We start from the raw sequence: 27,799 nt of genomic DNA on the forward strand, positions 1-27,799 counted from the left end.
GAGACCACAGACTAAGAACTGAGTCATTTCAACATTAAGAGGCAAGAAGAGGCCAGGCCTGGTAGCTCACGCCTGTAATCCCAGCACTTTGGGAAGCAGAGGTGGGTGGATCACCTGAGGTCAGGAGTTCGAGACCAGCCTGGCCAACATGATGAAACCTCGTCTCTACTAAAAATACAAAAGTTAGTTGGGCATGGTGGCGGACACCTGTAATCCCAGCTACTTGGGTGGCTGTCGCAGGAGGATTGCTTGAACCCGGGAGGTGGAGGTTTCAGTGAGCTGAGACTGCGTCATTGCACTCCAGCCTGGGCAACAAGAGCGAAACTCCATCTCAAAAAAAAAAAAAAAAAAAAAAGAGGCAAGAAGAAGAGTAGGAATTAGCAGAAGAGATGAGAAGGAGATGCCAGTGAGGTTGGCAGAAAGCCAGGAGAGGGTGGAGCTCTAGAAGCCAGGTGAAGAAGGAGTGTTAAGAAGGAGAAAGTGTCCAAAGCATCTGAGAGGCCAAGCAAGAAGAGTCCGACCTCTTTCCACCTGGAGAAGAGACCTGGGAGTCCGCACCATGTGTCAGCACAGGGAATAGTGAGAAAGAGCCTCGTGGACACAGAGCTTGCCAACAGCAGCCCCAGAAGAAAAGGAAAGCATCTTCTTCCATCAGTTCTGGCCTCACAAGACAGAGAGGAATGAGCAGGGGTGGAAGGTAGCTTTGTAAGTGACACAGTGATGTACCTCTGACCCTATTTTGATACTAGTTACATTAAATCAGTCCTAAATGGCCTTTTGGAATCCCCAGTTGATGAAATTTATTTCTCCTTTGTTTCATGTGCCACTCAGGATCTCTTGAATTCGTGAAATTTTTATTAAGAAAGCCTCATACACCAATAAACAACGTGTGCACAGACTCCATAGCCTCTCTGCTAACACATTGCTCTTGTATATCAGGAAGGTCTCCAGCATCAAAGTGAGTCAGTTATTGCACAGAGTCCCAACCTTGCCAGCTTTTTGCCAAATGGTCACCATCCTGTACATCCTTCCTTCCTGGAAGTGATAGAAATCTCTATGGCTATTTTTGCTACAAGGAGATTATGGCACAGCATATGGAGTCCTTACTCTCCAGGGGCAAAAGAAAAGTCTTGTCTTTGCTTAAGCAAGTCACACAGTAGATGCCACAGGCTTAGGGCAACTGTGTGTCTGCATGATTCATGGGGGACTGCACGGGGGAGCCGCAGCACACGGAGCAGCTGGTCTTAGCAGCATACTAACCTGATGTTTCCCATAAACGTTGCGCATGGAATTTCCCCCATTTGTCATGCTGAGTTGGCTCTGTCAATCCTATACAAATCCCTGCGTGCATTAATATTTCCTTGAGCCAGAGCAAAGGAATTCTAGAATATTGGCATTCTGAGGGTGAATAGTGATGGATATAGTAAACTTTTAGCATTATGGATATTGTCATCTTAAACAAAATAAACATGAAAGAAAAAGAGAAGTTATGATAAATTATCAGAGGCTGTTTGTTAAATTCCCTGATTTAAAAGCATCTTCCTCTATAAGTCCTCGGTTTAAAAACAAGAATCAACAAGGAACAAGATTTGTCTATAAGTAAAACCGTTTCTGTTGCTATTTTTTGAACAACAAGAGACATTTCTCTAGGAGATTAAGCCAGTCGTTTATCATGTTGTTTCAGGGAAGAGTATACTCTGAGTTATAATGTAATACCCAGACTAATTTATCTCATCATGGAAACTATTTACAATAATTTCTGGCCTAGCTAGAAATTGAAAAGTTCATTTTATTACCTGAATTCAATGTATACCGATGTTCTAAGAGAGTGGACATTCGGCAGTTAGTGCTATTTTAAATGGTGTTGTTGAAGAGAGTTTACTGCCTAAATTAAACAGGTTGGTTTTGCTTCTTGGCATTTATTATTTTTTTGAAATCTGACCAAGTTTAGGTTTATTAACCTTAGGGCACAGAAACTCATTTGTCTCACTAGATGCCTGAGCAAGGTTGGCATGCTAGAGAGAAAGGACATGGTTTAGCAGATCCATGGACCATGCCATTTGGTACTTATTGACCCCAGCAAATTACTTTAATCCCTCCAAGCTTCTATTTCTTCATCTCTATTGTGGGGAAAATAACCTGCATCACAGAGTTATGTCAGAATCCATAAAATATTATATGTAAAGTTCTGAGCACAGTGCCTGTTGCGTGGGGGCACGAAATAACCGGCAGCTGTTATTGTTGCTGCTGCTGCTGTTGTTACAATCTCCTCTAGCCTGCAGTCATGGAGATGTAAGAAACATGGTGGCTGAGCCTGGTGAAGTTTCTCAGCGTCTCTGTTTCTTGCATGTGTCTCACACCCTTGTCTAAAATGCCTTGCTCTCATCTAACCCAGAGTTCTCTCTCAACTAAGGCAGCAGGGTTGGCGTGAGGGGGGCAAAGGAGGGAGGAGGAAGGCAACCAGCCTCACAAGTGGGGGCCACTCCTCACAGCCACGAGCAGCTGGGCCACATGCAGCACTGGCAGCCCAGGTGGCCTGTTACGGCGGGCAGTACTTCCCTTTGCCTCCCTTCGGAATCTGTCAGCACTTTTATGTGGAGTCTTCATCCCATGTTCAGCCCTGGGGTTTTAAGGTGTTTCTCCTTTGCTTTGGGATTTCAAACATGGCAGCTCATAGCACTGTACTGTCATTTCTCCTGGATGCTAGGGATGCCTGCTACTTGCCTACCTCGAGCAGATGTTCTGAATGTCAAGTCAGCATTGCTTGAAACACACACACACACACACACACACACGTACACACCACTGTTACTAGTTCTGCTATGTCTGGCTCATAGACAAGGATGTAAAGAAGCAGTCTAACATTCTGCCATTGACAAACTACTCCTTTTTAAAATGCCAAATTCTTGTAATTCTGCTTATTTTCAATAGGCTATGTCTGGCCAAAATGTCTGCTTGAATTGGCTAATTAAACCAAAATATCTATGTTTGATAAAAAAAAAAATAGCCTTGGGATTTTGTTTGCAGTGTACCCTCAAATCACCATCTGCAAGTCTGTTACTCCAAGCAAGTCAGGGAAGAGTAGCTTCTGTTGGCCCTCCCCCGAAGAAACAAAACCAAACCTACAACCAGGCCTTTACTCTTTCCCCAGAAATGGTTTTCCCTCTTCCTTCATCTCCCAGCGCCCTCGTGTCTCTCTCTCAACAGTACCTGGAAGTTTCGTGCTATGAGATTTTTATGTTTTACTCTGGGTTTGTAAATCCGTTTCATAACTGTAAAGATCTGTAGCTTATCTCTAAAATCTCTTATCTGTGTTTGGGATATAAGAGGTCCCTATTGACACAGAATCAATTATTTATTGATTTAGAAGAAGAAAAATGCAGAGTCGCAGAGACATTGTCAGGATTTATAGATCTCATTTTGGTTGATGGGACTCACTGCGGGGGAAACCTGTGCTGAGTGGAAAGGGCTCCTTTTCCAAATTTATGCTATTCTGGTTCGATTCTGGAGAAGCCGGCAGTTTTGTTTGCAGACTTTCTGGTTTTCATTAGCAGTCTGGTGGTAACAGCTAGCTTTAGCTGCTTCTTCCTGTCACTGCTCACGGGAATGGCGCTGAATGCTCGGAGGTGGCACGAGGCTTTGGGGATGGCAGCAGCTTCATCAGCATGCCCTCACCCCAGCCCTCAATTGTCACAGCAGCAGGTCCTGCCTCCGAGAATGAGAACATTGCTGATTAGTGTGCCTGGTGCACTGGGCAGGCCGTGGGGAGAGAGAATGCTATGGTATATCTCCACTGATTTCCCAACAATTACATTCTCCCTGCTTCCTACTGGCCTTCCCCTTACACACAGGCTGCATCTTGTCTTCCATTATCAAGAGTTTCCTTTTGGTCTTTCACACTAGGAGTTCACAGGTTTCTTCTCAGTGTCTGTAACTTCATTCCACCTCCTGCTCTTGAGCTTCACCTCTCTCCAATTCACCCTTTCAGTCCTGCTCAATAAAAGCTCGGCTGTTCCTCCTTAATGCCTTTATCCTCTCATTCAGCAGTCTGTTGAAAACTGTGCACTCAGAGGGAATTCCACTTAATGATGACTTGAACTCTCTAGGCTTTAACTTGTTTTCTCATCTGTAAAATGGGGATAATGGTATTACACACCTCTCAGGGCTATTGTCAGGTAAAACAAGATAATACATATAAAGTGCTCAGATTAATGCCAGATACATAGTTATCAGTAAAGGCATTATCATCAGTTTCTTCTTCATCACCAACATCTCTAGGCATACTCTGGGTCTATAAGCAGGGACCACCTGTACTTTTGGTGCTATGAGTATATGTTTAGCCCTACAGATCACAACCTAGTCTTATTTGAAACTCATTTAATGTGATGCCAATTTCCTGTCCTATCTTAATTCTAGATTCTCAAAGAATAGTCTCTTTGTCTCTTTTTTTCTTTACTGCTTCACTACACTCGTGCGTTCACTACATTAAAGTTTACAAAGCAGTATTAAAAATCTTGTTGCATTTAGTCCACATAGTGGCATATGAGACATGGAGCATTTTACATATGATAGCATTGCAGACCCAGAGAGTACATATTTTGCTTAAGACAACCCACCATTAAGAGGCAAACCCAATATTCACACTCAAGTCTTCTGACTCCAAGTCCAGTATAGTTTTTTTCTATGTGGAACAATTTTTCTGTGGAGAATCAGTGACCTTTAATTTTCTACACAGGCTTTTATCAAGAAGTCAGTAAGTTTATTGTTGTTGTTGTTGTTTTTTGAGATAGAGTCTCGCTCTGTCACCCAGGCTTGAGTACAGTGGTGCAATCTTGGGTCACTGCAACCTCCTCCTCCTGGGTTCAAGCAATTCTCCTACCTTAGCCTCCTGAGTAGTTGGGATTACAGGTGCACACCACCACGCCCAGCTAATTTTTGTATTTTTAGTAGAGAAAGGGTTTCACCATGTTGGCCAGGCTGGTCTTGAACTCCTGACCTCAAGTGATCCACCCGTCTCGGCCTCCCAAAGTGCTGGGATTACAGGCGTGAGCCACTACACCTGGCCAGAAGTCAGTAAGTTTTAAGTTCTTGGAAGGTAGATATTAGTTCTAAGTCTCTCACTAAGATGCTTATGTCTAGTCATGTATCAGCATGATGGCTTGAACTGATTTACTGGATTTCTTTCCTGGCATCTCACTAAGGGCAGGGGACTAAGGTCATGATAATGTGGAGGAGGCTTTCTCTAGGCTGGGAAAGTAGTCCTAGGGGAGCACAGACTACTTTGTTGACTGAAGGGGACTTTGTTCAATGAAGAGTTACAGTGTATACTCTGGGAATTGGTGGTGGGTAGAGGAGACACAAAAGTGGAAGCTGGTGTTACAAACCCGACATAAACTGCTGCTCTCAAGTTGGTCTGGCATCGGCTCTCCATAGAATTCTTTTGAATTCATCCTTCCCTGTAACTTCTTGTCCCTGACTCTGCCCTCAAATCTCCAGGCAAATCCTTGCCTTTCAATGTGGTTTGGATAGCAATGGGCACTGAGTTCATCTATCCATTCATGTACTGATTTGTGGAGATTCATTCAGTACCAGCTATGTGCCTGGTACTGTGTTCATCACTGAGATAACAGGAATGAAAGATCCCGTTGAGTGGATGATCCAGCTTCCTGGTATCAGGTTGAGGGGACTGGGAGAAGCAGAAGGGATGGAGAGTCGGACGAAGAGAAAAGCGTTCTTAGTCAAGAGGAAGCGAGTCTGCTGTAACCCAACCTGCAGACCCTGCATGCGTGAACATGGTGTGATCAGCCTGTGAACATTCATAAACACTGAGAGCTGCGTTACACAGTGTCACTGGTTCACCAGAACCTCTGGATGACAGAGAGCTCAGCAGTGAGCCCAATATGTGGGGTAATGGTGCTTGGAAAGCCCTGGACTGTGAGGGAAACAACCTCCCTTTCCCCAAAGGTCTCAAGGCAACTTGCTGATTCAGCTCCGTCTTTGCTTCCTCTAATATTTGGATAGAAAAGCAGATACTCAATAAGAATAAAGAGTTGAATCAACAAGGCAGGAGGGGGAAAGTCTTTAAGACAACAGGCAAGGGCCAGGGAGTTAGAACCTGGCTTCAAGCACGCCATCTGCTGTTTACTCAATTCACTTCTCTTTAAAACATCTAGGTTTGAAAAAGAACTCTAAGGGGGACAGAAAAGCATACACCTTTCCAAATGGTCTTCCCCGATATGGAGCTCACTGAGTAGCCTCATGATGAGCCTAACTCAATACAAACAAACTGCCTGTGAAGCTTCTCCTCCACCCAGTTGTTGGTGAAAGCAAATGCATACCTCCCATCTTTGATGCTTAGGTTTCAAAAATCCAAAGCTGTTCTTTTGACTTTGTCACTAAACCAGACATTGGCAAATGTCAGTCCTTTTATGGAAGTACCAGCCTTGAGCTAGGAGGTCTCCTAGGCCCGGAGATCCTCAGCAGCCCACTGTCAATAGGTGGTTGTTATCAGTTCCAGTAAACATTTTTAAATATCCTGGAAATGCCTCAACAGTGGACCTAGATATTTCCCTTTCAGCCGGTAGGCAAGAGTCGGTATGCTCTTTGAAGTTTTGCGGTGTTATAAGACACTCAAGAAAAATGTGTGGTAAAGTATTCTAGGTATGTTTAAATTGTCAGTTATTGCTTATTCTGTTTGTGCCTTCAAAGAATGTTTTTGTTAAGGAAGTCACAGGGATTTGACTTACTTCTCCCTGACTGAAGAGAATAGTGGAAGACTGCCTCCAGATTTGAAAAGAAATTAGTCACAGGTTTTTTTTGTGTGCTTTCAGCCTGGAGAACAGACGCCTTTCCACCAAAGAAAGAAGAAAAGAGGGGCTCTAATGTAGGGCAGGTGGGAGAGAAGGGCTTCACACTGGGCGGGGAAGACTGTAGGTCCAGGAGGGACTCGGTAGAACAAATGCTTATTGCGGACAGCTGGGAGAAGCAGTCAAAGGTCATTTGGGTGATCTGGAAGTTTCAGGGCAAACCACTGGGAAGGCCTCTCTTGACTACCGGCTGTGATTCAGGGTAAGCTAAAAACAAAGTCTACCTTTTGTTTAGGAAACTTTGCCATTTTCCAGCATTTTCACACACATTTCTTGAATCTGAGCATCTCAGCCCTTACTGCTAAGGAGAATGGGACAGAGAGGTGTATCTTGTCTAAGGTTACTAACTTGTGGTAAATGCAAATCTTCTCAAAGATGGGCACTTCTAATCAAATTTGGGGGTTAAATACCATACTTCTAATAGATTTAAAATAGAAATTAGGTTCTAAATTGCACCTAGTTTATTAATTTAAATGTTGACGGGTAATAGCTAACTATTATTGGGCACTTGTTACGTACCAGGCACCTGGCTATGTACTTGACAGAAATTCGTTCATTTCACCTTCACAACACTAGTAAGTAGGTAGATGTTTTTAATCGCCACAGTGCAGGTGAGAAAAGAAGACATAAAGAGGCTACATGCAATTAGTCACACAGTAATTAGAGGAGTCAGATTCAGGTAGAAAGTCCCAAGTCCAAGACCCTTCCATCACTGCCTCTGTGTGGAACCTCTGCATGGCCCTCGGTAAGGGAAGGGTTTAATTCTAGTGTTCAGCTTTAATTCTAATGGAGTTATGTTTTTGTAAAACCTGTAGTAAGTTAGTATGATTCAGATCTTAAACACATGAGTGGTGTTGCAGGACATGTGACAGGCAACATGATATGATTTTTTTAAAAAGCATAAATTGAGAAGTCAAAGGACTGAGGGCAAGTCTTGCCTTCAGTATCAGTAAATTGGATGGTGTGGGAAAATCTCTTAATCTCTCTGGGCCTCCGTTTCTTCATTTGCAATGTGGCTAACTTCTACCACTACCAGATGAGAATCTACTGGTATCTGGTGATAGTGTACTCAAACTGTTAAAAAAATAGTTATCTGAAATGGCGACCTGAAGTTCTTAAGTGACATTCAGTGTGATGTGTACCAAAGGTTGATGGTGTAATAATATGGATTTATTATTTTTAAGTTAATTTATTTCTAACTGGTGTAGTTTTAAAAATTATACAAAATATGTATGAAAATAAATTTGAATAGGACCCAAGGACTTAAAGTGAAAAAGGTAAAGTTTGGACAGTCACAGTGGCTCACACCTACAATCCCAGGACTTTGGGAGGTTGAGGCAGGAGGACTGCTTGAGCCGAGGAGTTTGAAACCAGCCTGGCAATATGGTAAGATCCTATCGCTACAGAAAACTACTTTTTAAAAGTAGTCTTACTTCTCTGCCATGCCTATCCCTATCCCACTGTTCAGACATAACTACTGTTAAGGTTTCTTCTTTCAGAAATTGGAGCCATATATAACTATGCAATATCTTTTACATTAATTTACGAAAGACTCTGCTCGTTTCTCTAAATTATCTTAATTACAAAAATATGTGACTCTAAGTCTTGCTTAAAAAATACTTCAAAGCCTGTTTTTTTAAAAAGCATAAGACCTTAAATTTATGCATATTGAATTTTATTTCCTTCCACTAAAATATGAATAAGGCACTCTGCTGGAGAATATATTTGAATTGTGAAAATATAACTGTCAACATTATGGAAGCATCAAAGTATTAAAATAAGCTTTCATTTTGTTTTGGATCTTTTAAAACATGACAACAAAAGTCATTTAAGGCATTGTTGCTTATAAGTCATTTTGTGTGATTATTCATGCGATCCAGAATACTTCTCTGTTTCCCTCTGAGTTTTGACTGTTAAGAAATGTTATGTCTTGAAAAACATCTGAAGAGGGTTGCCTGTATCTTTCCTTGCCGTTTTTTATATAGTCAGTGGGAATTTGTTACATAATTCTGTGATTCTTTTGCTTCGCAAAATTATTCTTTTTTCAAATAAGGAAGTGTTAGAGGCTTTCCTAAACTAACTGCAATACTCCATCTTTTATGTGGTTATTTCATCTCTCATTGTAGATCAATAACTCTTCCTATGGAGGCCAAGTAAATTAAACCATATGGTTTTGGGCCAGGAGTTTTCTTTGTGATCGACAAAATGAATAATTAGGGTTCGCTTTCTCCACATGGCCCAGGTTTGTCACAGAGGCCCTACTTCCTAGGCGCTGCTGAACATTATGTGATTCCATTAATTGTCATATCAGAGAATTGAGTTATAGTGAGGAAGGCTGAGTCCATATTATGTGTCAGTGCAAATGAGAGCCAGTTGAAGCTTTCTCAGTACTACCTAAGAAGAGGCCTAATGGCTTCTCTGTGGAAGCTGCCCCCAAACAGAGGGCATAAATGCAGCCCAGGTGTACTTCCCGTGCTCTGGCACCAGAACATCTGTAGGAATTGTTCAAACACATTGGTGGGCCCCGCCCTCAGAGTTTGTGATGCAGTAGATTGGGAGACCCAAGCATTTGCAAGTTCCCACGTGATACTGCTGCCATTGATCCAGGGTGCACACGTTAAGAACCACTGGCCTAGCACATTTAGAAGCCGTAGCAAGAGAAGAATGGATGGCCAGTTAGGCAGAATTAATGTACTGGCTTTGGCTTTTGAGTCCATATAGCCACCTCTGAATTTCAGCTACTGGAGGTAGGGAGAAAGAGCTCATGCTCCAAATGTGTGGACTGTTTGTGCCTATTTCATCAGTTCACTGGGAGAATGGGCCTGTAAGCACTTAATGCAAAATAATGCCTACATGTGCTTTGAATTAGAACTCTTCTTCTTGTTTTGTTTTTCAAATTTTTAAAAAGACTAGTATGATTAGTTGTATCCTGCCCGTTTAACCACTTTCACATTTCACTTTTAAAATGAAATCACCCTGCTTGCATTTAACTAATGGAAACTTATTCAACCTGCCAAACAAGGTTCCACTATCCCTGAGACAAATTTTCCAAAGGGCTGGAAACTCAATGCAGCTTTTATACAAGAAACAGAATGGAAATGTTCGAATTTATGTTACTTTGACACATATTTTCCAAGGTTTGATATTTAAGTAATATCTATTACATTGTATCTGAAGGCATTCATTTGACTCTATAAGACAAGTACTTAACATTTGGGATACCTTTTCATCTTGCTTTTAACTTCCACAAGTATTATTTAAGTTTATCTTGTTTATAATAATTTTAAATGTTTGATACGTTATTATCATCATCAACTAATATTAATGAGTGGTCATTATGAACCAACCATTGCTAATTGATTTGCAGGTGTCATCACGTTTAATCATCACTTCTCTGTAAGGAGGATAGTTACCATTTTCTCTCTTTTACCAATACTTAAACTGAGGATGATAAGGGATTAAATAATTGTCCCAGGTCCCCGGCTAGTAAGTGGCAGAACAGTTCTAGGCCTGGGTAACTCCAAAGCCTAACTGCTTCCCCACTATGTTATCACCCTTATGAAAACACACTTTTTAAAGAGCTTTCTGTGCTTGGCACCATTCAATATTGGTTCTGCCCCTAAAACCATTCAATCTAAAATAGTCAACATGTTAAGTACATTGACTATATGCTCATGCATAACAGCTGAGCAGAATAAATATTTACTCTGCGTAGAAGAGAAGTTTTATGAAAGGGAAGTCATGTTTATGTGGGATAGGGAGACGGGTGTGTAATATACCTTTTCCTTAAAATTAGGGTGGATCTCAGGGAGGAATATTTTAGGACCTCCTTAAAATTGAAACATGAGGTCTTAGTAAAAAATCAGGTTCAAAGGGCTGATTGGGTATGGAATTTACTCTCATAGATTTTGTTGTGGGAATTGAATAGGTTTGCCAGAGGGGATAGGTTCTGTACTATCCAGTAGAACTTCCTGAGCCCTACAGCTGCGCTGTTGATAAAAGTGTTGGGTTGTATAAAATGTTGAGTTGATAAATGTATGGGGGATAAATGCATAAAAGTGGAATGCCCTACAGCTGCACTGTTCAGTAGGGTGGCCACCAGCCACATGTGGCCCTTGAGCACTTAAAATGTGCTTAGTGCAGCTGAAGAACTGGATTTTTAATTAATTGCAATAGCCACATGTGGACAGTGGAAGACAATAGGAGGATTAAGTGGGAGGGGAATGGAGGCTGACTCCCTGGCACCTGTACATGGATATAGACAGAAACTTTTGTGAGACTTCTGGAAGGATACTTGTTATAGCAATAGGAGGAAACTAAGGGCAGCTGGAAGAGGTGTGGGGTTTCAGTGAGGAGATGACCAGGACAGGCACAGGACTCTGAATAGAGGCAGGAGGAGGAAAGGGCAGATTGAGACTTCAGTGCTGGGGAACACGGGAGGATTTGGCAGCCAACTTATTGTGGGTTGAAGTACAGTGAAGGTTGGCAGCTACTTCAAGGCTTCCAGCCTAGTGATGGGGGAACAGCTCCTTTTTGCATTGTCTAATTTGTGCTGGCATAGGAATATCTAGCTTGAGACACCTTGTAGACAGAATGTGTATCCTGAGGCTGTATCAGAGAAGCAGGTTGGTAGATGGATCAATTTAATGTTTGCAGAGTGGTAGTATTTAATTCATGTGCACAGATGATATTCAGAGTTGTGTGTTTGAAAAATAGTAGAGTCAGTGTGACTGGAATGGATTGAACAAGGCAGAGTGTGGTAGGAAATGAAGTTGGAGAGGTAACCTTGTAGGCTCTGGGGCTACCAGGAGCTGTGTGGGTCGTGTAAAACTTTGGGTTATGTTCTAGATGTGATGGGAAGTCTCTGGAAGAGTTGAGAAGGAGAATGAAGGCGCTTCATTGACCCTTGAAAATGACCACTCTGAATGCGGCACAGAGAGTAATGAAAGAGTAAGTGAGGAGGTGGGGGTTCATTTAGGTTGTTTCAGTACACCAGGTGGGAGAGGCGGTGGCTCAGACAGGATAGCAGTGGCAGCTGTGGAGACAAGTGGTTGGATTCTGGATAAATTGTGAAGGCAGAGTCGCCTGGATTTGTTGTTGAATGAGATGTGTGGTGTGAGAGAAAGAGGGGAGTTGAGGATGATTCCAAAGTTTTGTCCTGAGCAACTGAGTGGTATCATTGACTGAGATGGGAACACTGAATGAGTACCAGGTTTCCAAACAAGATAAAGTTTTGGACATAAGCTAGACATGCCCGTTAGATGTCCTAGTGAGGCTGTCGAGTAGGATTTGAACATGTGATCCTGGAGCTGTCTCATGATTTGGTGAGTTGTGACTTATTTTTAAAGGAAGATTTTTAAAGGAAGGAAGGAGCCAGAAGAGGAAGAGAAGCTAAATGACAAAAGTATTCAAGAGTGAGACAGAGGTTTTAGGGAGTGGGAAGTTGCAAGATCCTGTTGTGGAATGGAGGAGTTGACCCAGGAGAGAAACACGCCATTCTGCTTATACTGTCGTTGAAGCTGCAAAGCTATCTTTCGAAGGGATGTGCATCGTGTGGGGTGGTGATCACTGGAAAGAATCCCACACTTAGAGGCTTTGGGAACAAGAAGGAGAGAAGGAGTGGGCCACAGAGTATTTGAGGTTTAGTACCTGACGACATAGCAACTGGGTAGAAGTCAAGCTATAGGATGACTTTGTCGTGTCGCAAGTCAATTGGTGCCTGCTCCTTGTGCATGAATGTATTTTGGGGCCATTTAATAAAAATTGCATGCCTTGGGGTTGAATAACACAGTGGGAAGTGTTGACTGAAATTGTTTTTGCAAGCAGGCATAAGTGTCAGAATTTAAGAGAATTGTATGCTGTAAAAAGATTATTTTAGAAGGAGGAACTTTTTCTAATTTTTCTCATTTGCCTGTAAGTATTTGTCACACAATCATTTGCCTGCTTTTATAAATGTGGGATTTCTATTTACATGTCATATTTCATATTTTCCCATTAAAATGGCACATCTTGGGTTTATTTGGCATTTGTTCTTAGTCTACTTAGACTTTTAGGCATTGGAATGTTTACTTTTAAAAAAACAAGATTTTCTGTTATTGTTACTGACTTATGATATACCACTAGGGCAAGATAAGGGCTTTTGAAGAACCGTAAGGGAATACATATTCCAGAGCGTATTTTCTTGAATTCCACTTACCTCCTCTAATTCACTGATCCTTACCTGCCAAAGTCAACAGAAAGAAAGTGAATGAAAAGAAATTAAATTGATCAGACTCACAACTTGTTGGCAATTCTGATAAAAGACTTGAGATAGAGGATTTACATATTGTTGATAAACCTTTACATCATTTATTGACTCATAGTCCCCTCTGTTTCTGAACCTGCATGAGTAACCAATAGTTGCTTAAATAGATAAAATTAGAATTCTTTCCATGGGATTCCTTTCTGTTTATAGGATAGGATCCCCATGTTATTGGCTAGTGATTTTTCCTTTCTTGCATTTGTTGGAATGGCCCATTGTTGAAGATCAACAGGCATTAATCAGTAGTGAATCAGTCTTGCCTCCTTGTCATCTTGTTATAGCAGCTCCTGCGACTGGACTGTGGTCATGCCTCGTGGGTTGGCAGTAGGGAACAGGACTTCCTTCAGACACTCGTGCTTAAGCAGCTGTTTCTCTTTCTCCAGAAAACACTGGTTTCCCCAGCCCCCAACTGGTTCTTCCCTGCTGAGAAGCCAAAATATGCCAAAGTCACTGCTAGACCAGTTCCATCCCGTGATAGTGCAAATGACTCCAGTGCCTTTCCCTCCCACCCAGATTTTCCCAACATAAGCTTTTCTCCTCTTTGTCAAGAGCTTATTCTGTCATCTTGTTTCCCTTTCCCTATAAATAATCTATTTTTTCCCACCAGACTCACGGAACAGAGGCGTGCCCCACGTTGTATGCTTGCACTGAGCATTCTTTCAGCGTTCTTTACTTGCTTGACCTTTTAGTTATTTTCTTTCATCCCTACCGAGGTCTCCAAACTGAGGTCGTGAAAGGTCAGAGTTTTAAAAATATATATCAACTGAATGCTTTTCTTCAGAAAACTGAGCACCTCACTTTCTGGATATTCGCAGAGGTTCCCTGGTCTGCAGTGACCCTTGCCACACATTTCTTCACTATTTTCACTTCATGGTTTAGATGCCCTGGTGATAGTGAGGAACTGTAAATAAGCACGGTCTGAAAGTGTCAGGAGGAGCTCAGATGATCCTGAGCTCTTTGGTCTTTCTCTTGGTTTAGAATTCCTCAAGACCTATTGTAGTGACTTCTTTTACTCGACTCAGAATTCCAGGGCTTTGGTGCTCCTTAAGTCTCAGAAGAAACGCATGGTTATGGTGTCTGTCAACTTGCTGTTTATTGAAATACCTTTTATTGTAATGCACCAAGTAAAGACGAGGTGATGTGGGCACTAACTTAATGATATTACACAAACACACTTAATTGCACTTAGGGAGTTCAGCATGACATTAGTGATTTCATACAGTGAATAAGTCTCTTCTCTTTTGTTTGACAAGTTTTGTTGTCATTTAACAGATTTGCTTCATGGGAGGTAAACTTATACTTTCTAAGGATGAATGAGTGCTTTGCAACTAATGGGTCATATGTTGGAATTTAAACATATTAAAGAGTTAATTCATTTCAAGAACTTACTAGTAAATATGCACTACCCACAAGAGATTTTTAGAATAACCTCTTTTGAATGATTAATATTTATATGTAATCATGTGCATATTTTATTTGAGATTTTCAGGGTATAAATGTCGATGCAATTTCCTTTAATAAAGGAATGATATATATGAGCCAAAGTAGTGATGTATTCATCATAGATAACGTCTCACTGATTTCCATTTGCCCCCGAAGGCATCCCAAATTTGGAAGGGCCATTGTTGTTTCATCATAGACTCCTTGGCCATGACTCTTATATAGACATCTGAGGAAATGCTGTGGCAAGTTTCTTGTACCTACTTTGGTAATTGTAAACCATCCAGGACCGTATCCTTTAGGTTTAATTTATCTTGCTCCTCTTTGCCCCTCTTTTCCAAGGGAGGGTTTAGAAGATGAATTATACTCAAGAGTTAGTGTTTCTCCAGAAGATCAGACCACAAGTTGTAGAAAGCACACCAGAACTTTGCACTTCTGCCCTTTATCTTAATTCCTAGCCCATGCTTAAGCCTTTTAGGATCTATCTACATCCACCTCACATAACCATCTAGAATTCTCCCAAAATCTTGTTTCAGTAGCCTGGGAATCATGGCAGTTATATCTGCATTTGTGTGTTTCCTGGCCATATAGTAAAAATGGCAAAAGAGATTTATATGGTCAAATCCCTAGCCTTTCCATTCCTTTGCTTTATAAATGAATAACAGTGATCTAAAAGCGAAAGAATGTAGCTAACCAGTGTCATTTGGGATCTTCTGAAGTAGTACGGAAACTCCACATTCTTCAGACCAACTTGCGGCATGCCAGCACATTCCTCTCCGATGAGGTGGAGGAATACTGGTGGCTGGCCTGGGACTTGTAGGACTGGGGCGGGGAGCTGCTGTTTAAAAATACATTTAATTATATTCCTTCTCTGCAGTAACATTGATACCATTTTTAGCCCATTACAAATACTGTGATTTTCATTTAAATCACGTCCATTATCTTATTGACCTAGTTTTTATTTTGTAATCAAAATGTTCTATTTCTGGATAGCCTCACCCAGAATCTTTTTTTTTTTAAAGGTTACAGACCCTTTGTGCAGTTTTTTCCTTTCGTATCTGCGTACAGATGGGCTGCATCTGTGTTCACACAGCAGAAAATGGTACTATATTGTTCCCTTTAAGAGTGTGGGTTTTCTCTACTTAATCTCGGACTCTTCATGGAGACACAGCTGGCAAGATGCCACGAGACCTCGCATTTGGTAACTGTTTTGGTGAATGGATATTGGGAGAGTTAAGTAATCCTATTTCTATTCGAAATGAGAATCCTGATTCTCTTCTTCCATTTTTGCTCTTTCTCTGTTCGTCTGCTAGTTCCCTCTGTGAGCCTTCTCTTTCCTCCCCGCCTCTCCAGCCGTCCACTATGAACCTCACGTAGCCCTGTCTTCATTCATGCCCTCTCGGGTGCTCCCTGCTGCTTGTAAGATCCCACTTATTTCTGGCCTTTGCTTTTTCTACATTTCTTTCTCTCCTGTTTCCTTCTTTCCCTCTTACCTTCTCTTCCTTGCTGTCAGCCATGTATTTCTGCACTCTGGTTGGAAGCTCACCCTGCAAAGAACACCCCGGAGGTGTTTCCAGGGCTCAGCTGTTTTTCACTCATGTCTAGGCAGGGCCTTGAGGCCCCTGAGGAACTTTCAACTTTGCCCTCAAGACTTCCTCTTAATATTATTATTATTATTATTATTATTATTATTATTATTATTATTATTATTATTTGAGGCAGAGTCTCGCCCTGTCACCCAGGGTGGAGTGCAGTGGCGTGATGATCTCTGCTCACTGCAACCTCCATCTCCCGGGTTCAAGCAATTCTTCTGCCTCAGCCTCCTGAGTAGCTGGGATTACAGGTGTGCGCCCTGACGCCCAGATAATTTTTGTATTTTTAGTAGAGACAGGATTTCACGATGTTGGCCAGGCTGGTCTTGAACTCCTGACCTCAAGTGATCCACCCACCTTGACCTCCCAAAGTGCTGGGACTACACACATGAGCCACCGTGCCTAGCCTCTCAATATTGTTTTTCACTGTCCTTCTTGACACATGAAAATAGGCTGTGCTTCTCTTGAGGCAATAATTGGATCAGAATTTTAGGATTTTTGCATGACCAGCCATTTTATTTTGTAGGCGAGGAAGCAGAAGACCTGAGAATGACTTCCCCTAAGATTCTGAGGCAATGGAGTGGCAGGACCAAGTCAGCCACCCCATCTTCCCCTTCCCACTATGTGGTTCTCCTCTTACTGCCCTCTGTCTTAGCCGGGGAATCTTACAGATGTTGCATCTGGTGCTTCCTGGTGTTCATTTCTTCCAACCACCATTTGCCCTTGCAAATACCATTCGGTATGAAAGTATTTTAGAGCAACTGAGTCTTCAGTGTGTCACTTTATTGCCAAAAGAAGACACAAACGATGGAGTACAATGGTAGGAGTCTCCGGCTGGGTTCTCAGGGATTTTCTCAGGAATTATGTTTTGCTCCAAGTCGTTTCAGTTGACGTATTCATTCCTCAGAACCGGTAGATGACTATGACATATAATACCCAAGCTTGAGCTCTTTCCTGTCTAACTGGAGTCTCCCTTTTAATCAGGAAACCACATTTAAAGCTGTGTCCTGAACTCTGCCCAGCATGTCAGCTTGGCCAGGAAGGACAGGGAATTCCTACTGGTAGTAGCCACTGGGGACTGAGGGAGTCACGGGAGGTCAGATGGGAGCTTAGCAAGAAAGACAGCAGCAGCACAGGGTACATTCAGGCTGCTAGGATTGTCTTTTTGTTTGCGAAACTCCCTCCCTGGTTGAGGTCAGGAAAAACCTAGGATAGCAACCCCCTGGGCCGGTGACCCCACACTAGGATTTTGTGATCTAACCATTTAAAAAAAATTGTTTTTAATTGAGGAGGTTTAACATAGTGTTTAGCTTTGATCTTGAGAAGTAAGGATATTAAAAACAGCAATGTTGAGATTGTCATGTAATGTTACAGTCCTTTCATGAAAGAACAGGCACTTCAGAATCAGAAGTAGGAAGAATAAAATCTCAGAATGAAGGCTAGTCCTCTATTCTGTACACACGTAGCTTCAGGAAAAACTTGTACTGTGTTATCCAGATATTTCCTATTTAGCCACAGGTCAGCAAAAATTCTATCACAGAAGCAGTGTTGGTCTGTGATACTTGGGAACCACCAGCCTTCACTCCATGGTTGGTGCATCCCTGCCCCTGTTTCCAGGAGCAGTGTGCATGAGGAAGATGGCGTAATGACAGCACATCAGTGCCTGGCTCATATGTCATCAGTGCTCAGGAAATTGAGTTGATTTTTATTCTCTTAGATAGTCCATATAGCAGAGACATAAATTAGGCTGGATGACCATTTCAGGTTGGATTTCAAGGGACACCGCTCTTCCTTGGCTTTTTTCATCGGAGACTAGGATCTTAGCCTCAGCTTTGCAGATCTGAAGCTGGATTTTTATCATGTATTTTATGGATGACCTGGAAATACTTACACGTCCAAGCTCACAGGAGGCTACCCCATAAACAAAAATATCAGCTCATTATTTTGCGGATGAAAGATAGGCTTTTTCAGAGACCACATTGATGGATCAGTCTGCCTCCCAGTCATATGTCCTTCCCACAGCTGGAGGTAGGGAGTGGATGCTAGGGTGGCAATTACGGCACACACTTTCCTTGAGGAACACAGAATCAGTGCAATGGCAGTTGGTTGACTGAGTTTATTCCAGTCAAGTTAAGGAAGAGCCCATTCTACTTCATTGACATTGTTTTCTCTTTGTTGAGAGACATTAAAACATAGTGGTTAAGAATATAGATCCAGGAGCCGGGCGCAGTGGCTCACGCCTGTAATCCCAGCACTTTGGGAGGCTGAGGCAGGCGGATCACCTGAGGTCGGGAGTTCGAGACCAGCCCGACCAACATGGAAAAACCCCGTCTCTACTAAAAATACAAAAAAAAAAATTAGCCGGGCATGGTGGCGCATACCTGTAATCTCAGCTACTCGGGAGGCTGAGGCAGGAGAATCCCTTGAATCTGGGAGGTGGAGGTTGTGATGAGCCAAGATCATGCCATTGCACTCCAGCCTGGGCAATAAGAGCGAAATTCAGTCTCAAAAAACAAAAACAAACAAACAAACAAAAAGAATATAGATCGGGAGTCAGAATGCTTGTGTACAAATTCAAGCCTTGCTTCTTACTACTTTTGTGGTATTGGGCAACTTATTTCACCACCATTTTATCATCTGTAAATGGGGATAATAATATTTGCCTCATAGGTTTGTTTTGGTGAGGAACAACTTAAGTTTTGGTGAGGAACAAACATAGGTTTGTTTTGGTGAGGAAAGGAGTTAATACATGGAAAGTGCTTAAAATAGTGTTTGGCATATAATAAATGGCAATAAATATTAAATATTAACATGTAATGTTAAATAATACTTAATATTATTACTAATATTACCAAGGAAGCTAGTTTTGTGGTGGACGTGGAAAAACGAACACAAATCAGACAGGCAGAATTGGTTAGAGTCTTACCCTTTAACTTTCCTTACTGTAGAATTCACTCTCCACTAACCTATGGTTTCCATTTGTTATTCTTCATTGTTTCAGTGGATTTTCCAACTGTGTCACTCTGTCTAGATTGTTCTTTAATGATTACATTTAGAGTTGACTATTCCTTGTTGACATATGGAGAGACGCTTTGATCTGAAACCATCAAAGGCTTCTCTCTCCATGTCACATCTTTGGAGAGGCTTCTGGTCATGGTATGTGGACCCATGTCAGCTTCTCTTTCTAGGTCACCACCTTTTTTGGCCTTTACCCCTTGAGTTTGAACTTTGACTTATTTAGTAGTGGCAAGAGAAGCCCCATGGCTCTTGATATACCAAGTACCAACCTGTCTGCCAGATACTGAAAGATGCCGAGATACTTACACAGTTGTTCTTTAAAATAATAAGCTGCACAAATAATAGTAAAGCTGATTCTGAAACTAGTTTTTTTGTTTGTTTGATTGTATGTTTTTTGAGATGGAGTCTCACTGTGTTGCCCAGGCTGGAGGGCAGTGGCGCGATCTCGGCTCACTGCAAGCTCCATCTCCTGGGTTTACGCCATTCTCCTGCCTCAGCCTCCCAAGTAGCTGGGACTACAGGTGCCCGCCACCATGCCCAGCTAATTTTTTGTATTTTTAGTGGAGACAGGATGGTCTCGATCTCCTGACCTTGTGATCCACCCGCTTTGGCCTCTCAAAGTGCTGGGATTACAGGCGTGAGCCATGAAACAAGCTTTTTATGTGATTTCTCATATTTTGCCAAACCAATAGGGCAAAGAAACCACTGACATGATTTTTTTTTTTTAATTTCTCCTCTCCCACCCCGCCGGAGAAACTAAACAACTATTTTACAGTGGAAGCCAATAGCAAATTGACTGGTATTCAGGATGCCTTTTGTAGAAGGCATGCATTCCATCTTATCTGTAGATATGTCTAACACCTGTAATATGATCATTTTTCAATTTCCTCACTAAACTCACAGTGATAAATTACAGTTAATATTGGCCATTAAAATATTCTACTGTAAAATATTCCAGGTACCTTGGCCACTGAAGCAAATTAATCCATCTACCACCTATCTGTGACATAATGAGAAATTTAAAATGATAATCAGCTGAAACTTTCCTTCTGTAAGTAACACTGTCAATTCCTACATCGAAGAATTTTTTCTTAAAGCTCTATTGCCTTCCCATCTCTTCAAGGACAGGTGTTTATTCCTTGACTCCTATATCACTTTCCACTCCAGCTAGAATTAACGATGTAATTGGGCTGTTTACTTATTTTTTTTGTTCATCGCCAGATGAGAAGTCAGAGGGTTCTCCCACCAGATGCTAAGTTTCTGAGAAGAGAAGAGGTAGTAGGCTAGAAGCACTGACTGTTTCCAGCTTTGCAGTCAAGGTTTTCTACTAAAGAGTATTGCATCCTGTTGTCAAGACTGTGTTGGGTTTTCTGCTTAAGGCATGGACATCTCTCTGGTCTTCTGCAGTGATGTGGTCCATGTAAAATGACCAGCAGTCTCCTTTCTAGGGGTCAGCTGTGCTGTGTAAGTGGAAATTAAGATTTTCATATAGGGACCGTCCACATCAGCCAATGAAGAGCCACTCACCCTTCCACTAATCCTCTGGAGGTGAGACTGTCCTATTTGGGGTCTACTTTGCATTTGTTGGGCCTGGATAGTCTAAAGACTACTTGTTTGTGAGATCCCATCTATCCCAGGATCTGAGGCTCTGTAGGTGTGAAAATATCTTTAACAGCCACAGAGCAGCTCAACTTTAGGTTCTAGGACCTTGTAGTCAAGAATGTTCATGAATTGAACTCCACGAAGTAGATGTTAGAGAAGTTTTAAAAGAGAATGTGGCCGGCCGTGGTGGCTGACGCCTGTAATTCCAGCACTTTGGGAAAGTCGAGGCAGGCAGATCACTTGAGGTCAGGACTTTGAGACCAGCCTGGCCAACATGGCGAAACCCCGTCACCACAAAAAAATATAAAAATTAGCCAGGTGTGGTGTCAGGTGCCCATAATCCCAGCTACTCGGGAGGCTGAGACATGAGAATTGCTTGAACCCAGGAGGTGGAGGTTGCATTGAGCCAAGATCGTGCCAGCACACTCCAGCCTGGGTGACAGAGCACAACTGTGTCTCAAAAAATAAAAAGAGCATGTAACTATTTGGCTTTCCAAATAATTGTGTAAGGCCAAGGTATCAGACCACCCAGACCTCCTCACACTGGCTCAGTGACCCCCTTGTAAGACAGGTGCTGTGCTATATTCTCCTGCAGGGCCTCAGCCAGCCTCAAAATTTTGACCTTCTTTTCTGAACAAATGACCACTGAGTCCCACCTCTAGCTAGGCCCCCATCCTAAGCATGGGACCCGTATGTCCAAAAGCTTGTCTGACATCCTGCTCCAAGTAGCCAGCTGGCCTCATCACAGTCAACTTGTGCAACAGGAGCCTCTTCCTTACCCAGCCACTGTCATTGACTTCTCTGTGCCACTGGGATATTCCCACAGTCACTCTGGCTGAGCACCTTGGAACTTCTCCGAATACCGTGTCCACTGAGTCTCCAAATGAGGGTCATTCCATCTCCCCAGTGTTCCTCCAAGCCTCTCTACTCATTTCCCATCCTAACGTCCTTACTCTTCACCCTCTTGCATAGCCTCGTATTACTATTGTCACTCATTAGAAGTCAGGCTGAGGATTCGAGCATGCCCGTGGCTGGGCACCTTTTCCACGCTTTGTGGGGGGCAGAAGAATCAGGGCCAGGCTTGTGCTTAGGCAGGATAACCTGGCCAAGTAACCTGGCCTCTCTGAGATTCAGTTTGCACACCTGTAAATCAAGAATGCCTGGCTCACAGGGCCCTTGAGGGCTTGATGTCATAAGGAAGAAATCAGGCAAGGAAGGAAATAGACAAAACCTGGAATCCAGTACTATATCCTGTTTCTGACTGCTAGTAATATTAAAAGGATATGTGTTTTCTTGGTCCCTTACAGAGGTTTCCCCAGCCTTTTTTTATGCCCAGACACAGGCTAACATTTGTTGAAGACACTAGGGTTACCCAGCTATCCTGGGTCTTGCTCGGCTGCTTGAGGACTGATGAGATCAAAATCTCTATGGGTGTGGAATGCATTTGAAATACATCATAGTTGGGGACTCAGTCTCACAGTTCCTGAGCAATATGCCATCTTCCCTTGGTGGTATCCATTCATTCTTATCAGAGCTCTGTGTGTGTGTGTGCGTGCGCACGCACACACATGTCCGTCTGTCTCTCTTTTTGGTTTGTTTGGTTTCGCAGTGTGGGTTTTTTGTTTTTGGTTTCTGAGGGATTTTGATTATTTGTTGCTCTTACATAACCTTCTTTTACCTGGACAATGAATAATCAGTCATCAAATGACTCCTCATCCTGTGTCTCATTCTTCAGCAAATATTTACTGTGGTTATTCTACGTGATGCTTTGGGGGAACAAAGGTAGATGAATATGTCTCCTCCCCAACCTCAGGTGCTGATAGTCATGAGGTATAATGTGAAACCTAAAAATGAGGGGGAAGAGCCAAGGAGCCCAGCTGTTGGAGTGTGGGGTAACCCTGAACTCTGGAAATTTAGTTTGGAAACTACTTGTGCTGCAACATTACCTGGCCAACCTCAGAACCCTGTACAATAGCACACCCAGAGACAGAGTTTTGGTGGCCTATGGCCTGATGTCCTCACTGTGGGTCATGGGGGCTTGGTGCTGGGTGGCGAGGGAGAAGTCAAACAGGCCTTTTGATTAGCCGAGCATGGTGGCGCATGCCTGTAATCCCAGCTACTCAGGAGGCTGAGGCAGGAAAATTGCGTGAACCCGGGAGGCGGAGGTTGCAGTGAGCCGAGATCGCCCCACTGCACTCTAGCTTGGCAACAGAGCGAGACTCCGTCTCAGAAAAAAAAAAAAAAGGGCCTTTTGTCAATCATCATTCTCTTGTTTCAGGGGTTTGGTGTATCTAATCTCCCAGACATCAATGATACCTAAAGTCTTCTTTCTACGGTGCTGTGTTGTTCACAACTTGCCTTATTTCCTTTCATCCTCATAGGAACATGGGAAGTAGGCATTATTTTTATTTTCTCCATATTTTAATTGAGGAAACCAAGAATCCTCTGAGAAGCTAGGTAGGGTAGCTTGTCCCAGAGAGTAATGGGCCAGGGACATAAGCCAGCCCAGGCAGTTGTCACTCAACCATCCGCTTCTCTGGAGGTCCATTTGCCCCAGCATAAAGTTTTGTCACAAAGTCACTTCAGTGTGCAAAGAGAAAGTTTCCCCTAATACTGATGGGACACTTATCCCCTTGTGGGGAGCAGGAGTCCAAGGAGCTTTGAGTTTCCAGAAGAGGAGGATGACAGGTCAGGAAAGACTGGAGACAGACTTTCTTGATGCTACCAGTGGTGAAGAATCCAGTCATCACAACTCATTTGCCAGCTTGGCTGACTTTGACATTTGCTGTGCTCTGGATGGAAGGACTGGAGAAGACATCAACTTGAAAGTTTAAAAAAAAAGAGAGAGACTGTCTAGAATCTGATTATGTGTTTTAACAGCAGCCCCCTTGAACCACATTTACACAGCTATTTTACAAAGTGAGATCCGTGCATAATTTTCCACCAACAACTTTGGATGGCTTCCATTAGACTTGGTATCCAAGCATATCCCTCCAGTCCTGTCAGCCACAGAATTGTTTGCCTGTTAACATCTGAATTTCTGTGTGTAATCATTGCATTGAGAGCTCAGGGAAGCCAGTTAATCATACACTATTCAGGCATCTTTTTAGTTCTCTGGAGGGTTTTTCCACCTATGGACTTGATCAGTGAAGTCCTGTTTCATGAATGGTGTGAACATAATAGAGTGAAAGGCACTGCGGACTTTAAGTCAGAACACCGAAGTTCTTGACCTCGGGCAAATCACTTGTTTTTTCCAAGCCTCAATTTCCTTATCTGTCAAGCAAGATCATAAAGTAGCTTTAAGAATTTTAGAAGTGCTTTATAAATAGAAAAGTGTGATTCAAATCTCATCTTTTGGTCCACATGCATTTTTATATCTAGGACAATGATATAACTTTACTTACCTTGACTTATTAGATTAACATAATACAGAACAAAAATTCTTTTTCATACCTATATTTTAGATACATAATGTGGATTCTATAGATTTCTTTGATGCCTTTTTATTCCCAAAGAGTTCGAAGCTGTGCCCCTGGTATGCCTGCTGTATTTATAAGTCTGTGATTGGTTAGTCAGTTGGTTAGAACAGAGGGCTAATTAGCAGATTAAAGCAAGCCCCTAAAGTAGACCCTTGAGGAATCTGCTATTCCAGAGTCTCCTATTCTGTGAAGATAGTTCCCGTCCTAGTTAATGCCAGCATTTGGATCTGTGGTCTGTGCATTAACCTCAATCCTTATCGAACCTTCTAGTGTGGGTCATGGATTCCTTCTTTGTGCATGCAAGTTGGCTTTGTGACTATTCCACAGTCACAGATCACACCCAGAGATTCAGCCGACTATTCCCGGATATCTGATGTTTGTTGCAAAAAGGTTAGTGGGAGCGTGTGGATGACTTGCCCCAAACCCATCCCCACTACTGGAGAAACACCTCTACATGGCCTGAAGCATCTCTGTTCTGAGGACAGCCCTTTACATTAACAATTGTTTACCAGGTGCCGAATGCTTATCATCTGAGAGAGCAGAACTCACAGGTGTGCAGGCTAGGTAACAGGAATATATGCTTGAAAGCAGTGCTTTATCCACTATCTGGAAAAAAAAAAATATGTTGAGCAGGTATTGAGATTGGCAGCCGCCATTCACACAAAGAAGAGCCAAGAGCAAGGGGCTGGGAGCCAGAGAAGGTGATCAGATTTGGCAGGTAGAGGTGACTCTCAGACACAGGGACACTCAGGGCCTTTTTACTGCAGCTACATGTGGGAGCTCTCACCTGAAGTTCTTCAAACATGTCTCTCTCTGGAAGGGGTTTTGATCGCTTAGTTACAGATGGAAAACTCCAGCATAGTTAAGGTAGATGACCTAGTCAGCCCAGAGATCAATGGCAGATTGAAATAACACCTGTGGATATTTTGCTCCATTTAGATGAGACTTGAAGGGATAGAGGTCCACAGGGAGCTGAGATTGAGGCTGTGCCTTTCTCTTGTTTCACATTAAAGAGTGTATGATTATTGTACTTATTGGCAGAGAGACTCCTACTGGATGGGACACTTATTTTTTTTTTTTTTCATTTTTTTTTTCCTGAGACGGAGTCTTGCTTTGTTGCCCAGGCTGGAGTGCAGTGGCACTATCTCAGCTCACTGCAACCTCCACCTCCCAGGTTCAAGCGATTCTCATGCCTCAGCCTCCCAAGTAACTGGGACTACAGGTGCATGCCCCCACACCTGGGTAACTTTTGTATTTTTTTTTTAGTAGAGACAGGGTTTCACCATGTTGACCAAGCTGTTCTTGAACTCCTGACCTCAAGTGATCTACTTGCCTCCGCCTCCCAAAGTGCTGGGATTACTTCCTGAGCCACTGCACCCAGCCTGAGTGGGACACTTATTGATGTCTTACATCCGTCACAAGGGAGGGTCCTTGTGGCCACCTTTGGCTCCCTCAGCACAGGGTGTGGGGCTGCTATGGCCCTGCGATTCCTACACGGTCTGCACACCCCACGTTGACCCCCAGAGAGGTCTTGGACACCAAAGGGGATGCCCTGGGAAGTTCTGCCAGGGTTTCCTGTGCTGCTGGGCTGCTCCCTGCACTGGGCAGTAAACCAAAGGTCACAGACTCTGCAGACGTACAGCCTTTGTTGCACAGTGGAAGTCCCAGACCACAGGGGTCCAAGTTAATTAATCACACTGGGGAAACTACTCCATTGAAGTTGGACATAACAGGATGAGAGAGAAGTGACTGAAACTGATTAAGAATGGGCTTAACTGAAGAGCTAAGCTGCCTCAAATCCTTCATGGAAGTTGACAGGATGTAAATAATAAATTATAAATAAACAAAATGTAAGAGCTAAATAAAGTTCCATTAAATATACCATCCCTCACAGATGCAAATGTTTCAAGGTGGAATTAGCTAACTTGTGCTTGACATTGAGAGCGGATCCAACCTCAGATACTTTTCATCCAAGTATTTTTATCCAAGCCCTATAGAGTAGCAATAATGAGTAAAATGATAGACCGCGGTCTAAAGTACTGAACCAAGGCAACTAAGCTGATTTTTCAACCCAGCCTGAACTTGAGGGATTAAAGTTTTTTAGTCAAAAGATCTTAAGACACAACGTGAACCTTCGCACCACATGAAGCATGAGTTCCGTCAGGTAAGTATACATTCTTCCTTATAATTTTTCTCTACTTAGCTTGACTACTTTTTTTTCTGTCCTATTTGTAGCATTGTACTGCACCTTAGGAGGGGATTTATCCAATAGTCAGTGAGACAAAAACTGAGCAAACAAAATTACTCTTCCAATCCCTAGAAAGGCAGCAGGTTAGAGACTGTTAGGTCTCACGTGGTCATTTTTTCCCCTACATTATTGGAATAGATAATTAGCTCTTTCTTTGGTTGAACCTAGGGGAGGTACTGTGGGAGCTCACTTAATCCATCTGCCAGTTAACATGTTCTCTCTCTTCCCTGTGAATGAGCGCACCAACCTCTATCTATGGCAGTCAGTTAATGGGCTGCTCTCCAGTGAGCCATCCCACCCATCCCATCAGCTCAGTTGGGGGCCTGTTGAGAGTATGTGCTCCCAAACCTAAGTATGCCAGTTGTACTTATTCTAAGACATGTAGCTAAGTAACGTTTAAACAAATGAAATATGAGTGGGAGAAGGAGAGCTGTCTCGAAAATTATATTGTTGCCTTGAAAAGACTTGTTAATGATGAATTTGCTAAAAAATAAATTGAGGCCAAATTAAATACAAACAAGATAACTCTAAAAGATTGAGGAGAAAGTCAAAAATCTAGGCAGATTCTGTGGTCAGATGGCTTTTCAGTTGCCTTTGGGTTTTTTTTCTCTTCTTTAAAGAAAGAGAACCTGAAAATCATAGCAAATTTCCTGGTTTATACAGGAAAGATAATTAGGAATTCCAGACAGTGGACCCATCTTCAAAGATAAGGCATGGCCCCTGTACTTCTACCAAGTTTGAGATGAGTATACACTTATAGTTTGGATTAAGGATGTCTTTTGTAGGGGCGGCAGCCGGCTGCGTTGTATAAAGTATACCTGTCTAATGAGCATATAAAGATGCTGTCACTCAACAGGTTACCAGAGAACTGAGCCAGGCTGAGGAGCGCGCAGACACACATCGCCCTTGACATGCTCATCGGGACACAGACCAATTGAGGGAAACTGGGCAGAACCATCTTTACACTTTCTCACAAATGCACTTCCTCCCTCTCTCCCCACTTCCTTCTCTTCCTCCTGTCCCCCACCCCCTCTCTTCTTCTCTCTCCTTCTTACTCCCTAAGCAATGTAGTTGAGTTCAAAGAACTTAATGCTCCTATGATGTGACTCTGAAATAAACAGGGAGAAACCATTTGGAGTTGACCAACAGAGTATATTTCAAAGTACTTGTTCCATGGAAGATCTGATCTTTGGCTTTAAAAAGTTTTAAATATGTTTAATTATGTGAATCCAACACACACACACACACACACA

At 42.6% G+C, this 27,799-nt stretch overlaps 1 protein-coding gene and 1 long non-coding RNA gene across 17 annotated transcripts in view, besides 3 other annotated features; both read left to right on the forward strand.

Moving 5' to 3' along the window:
* Positions 1-27,799, forward strand: part of SAMD4A (sterile alpha motif domain containing 4A) — a 228,000-nt gene that overhangs the window by 71,717 nt on the left and 128,484 nt on the right. The gene's annotated exons all lie outside the window — the stretch shown is intronic.
* The window catches only part of LOC112268133 (uncharacterized), a 64,608-nt gene that overhangs the window by 32,986 nt on the left and 3,823 nt on the right, over positions 1-27,799 (forward strand). Inside the window, exon 2 of the long non-coding RNA XR_002957606.2 lies at positions 1-27,799. This exon is cut by the window's left edge and continues 27,534 nt beyond it; it is cut by the window's right edge and continues 3,823 nt beyond it. This is a non-coding gene — a long non-coding RNA (uncharacterized LOC112268133).
* Positions 13,134-13,741: an enhancer, noted in NCBI's record as "NANOG-H3K27ac hESC enhancer chr14:55116884-55117491 (GRCh37/hg19 assembly coordinates)". NCBI's record gives its function as "activates a minimal SCP1, AML or CMV promoter by ChIP-STARR-seq in primed H9 embryonic stem cells {active_cell/tissue: H9 hESC(primed)}" and the evidence as "EXISTENCE:reporter gene assay evidence [ECO:0000049][PMID:30033119]".
* Positions 13,742-14,348: an enhancer, noted in NCBI's record as "H3K27ac hESC enhancer chr14:55117492-55118098 (GRCh37/hg19 assembly coordinates)". NCBI's record gives its function as "activates a minimal SCP1, AML or CMV promoter by ChIP-STARR-seq in primed H9 embryonic stem cells {active_cell/tissue: H9 hESC(primed)}" and the evidence as "EXISTENCE:reporter gene assay evidence [ECO:0000049][PMID:30033119]".
* Positions 15,928-16,664: an enhancer, noted in NCBI's record as "H3K27ac hESC enhancer chr14:55119678-55120414 (GRCh37/hg19 assembly coordinates)". NCBI's record gives its function as "activates a minimal SCP1, AML or CMV promoter by ChIP-STARR-seq in naive H9 embryonic stem cells {active_cell/tissue: H9 hESC(naive)}" and the evidence as "EXISTENCE:reporter gene assay evidence [ECO:0000049][PMID:30033119]".

Source organism: Homo sapiens, chromosome 14 (genome assembly GCF_000001405.40).
Source record: "Homo sapiens chromosome 14, GRCh38.p14 Primary Assembly".
In the NCBI taxonomy this organism is placed as follows: Eukaryota; Metazoa; Chordata; class Mammalia; order Primates; family Hominidae; genus Homo; species Homo sapiens.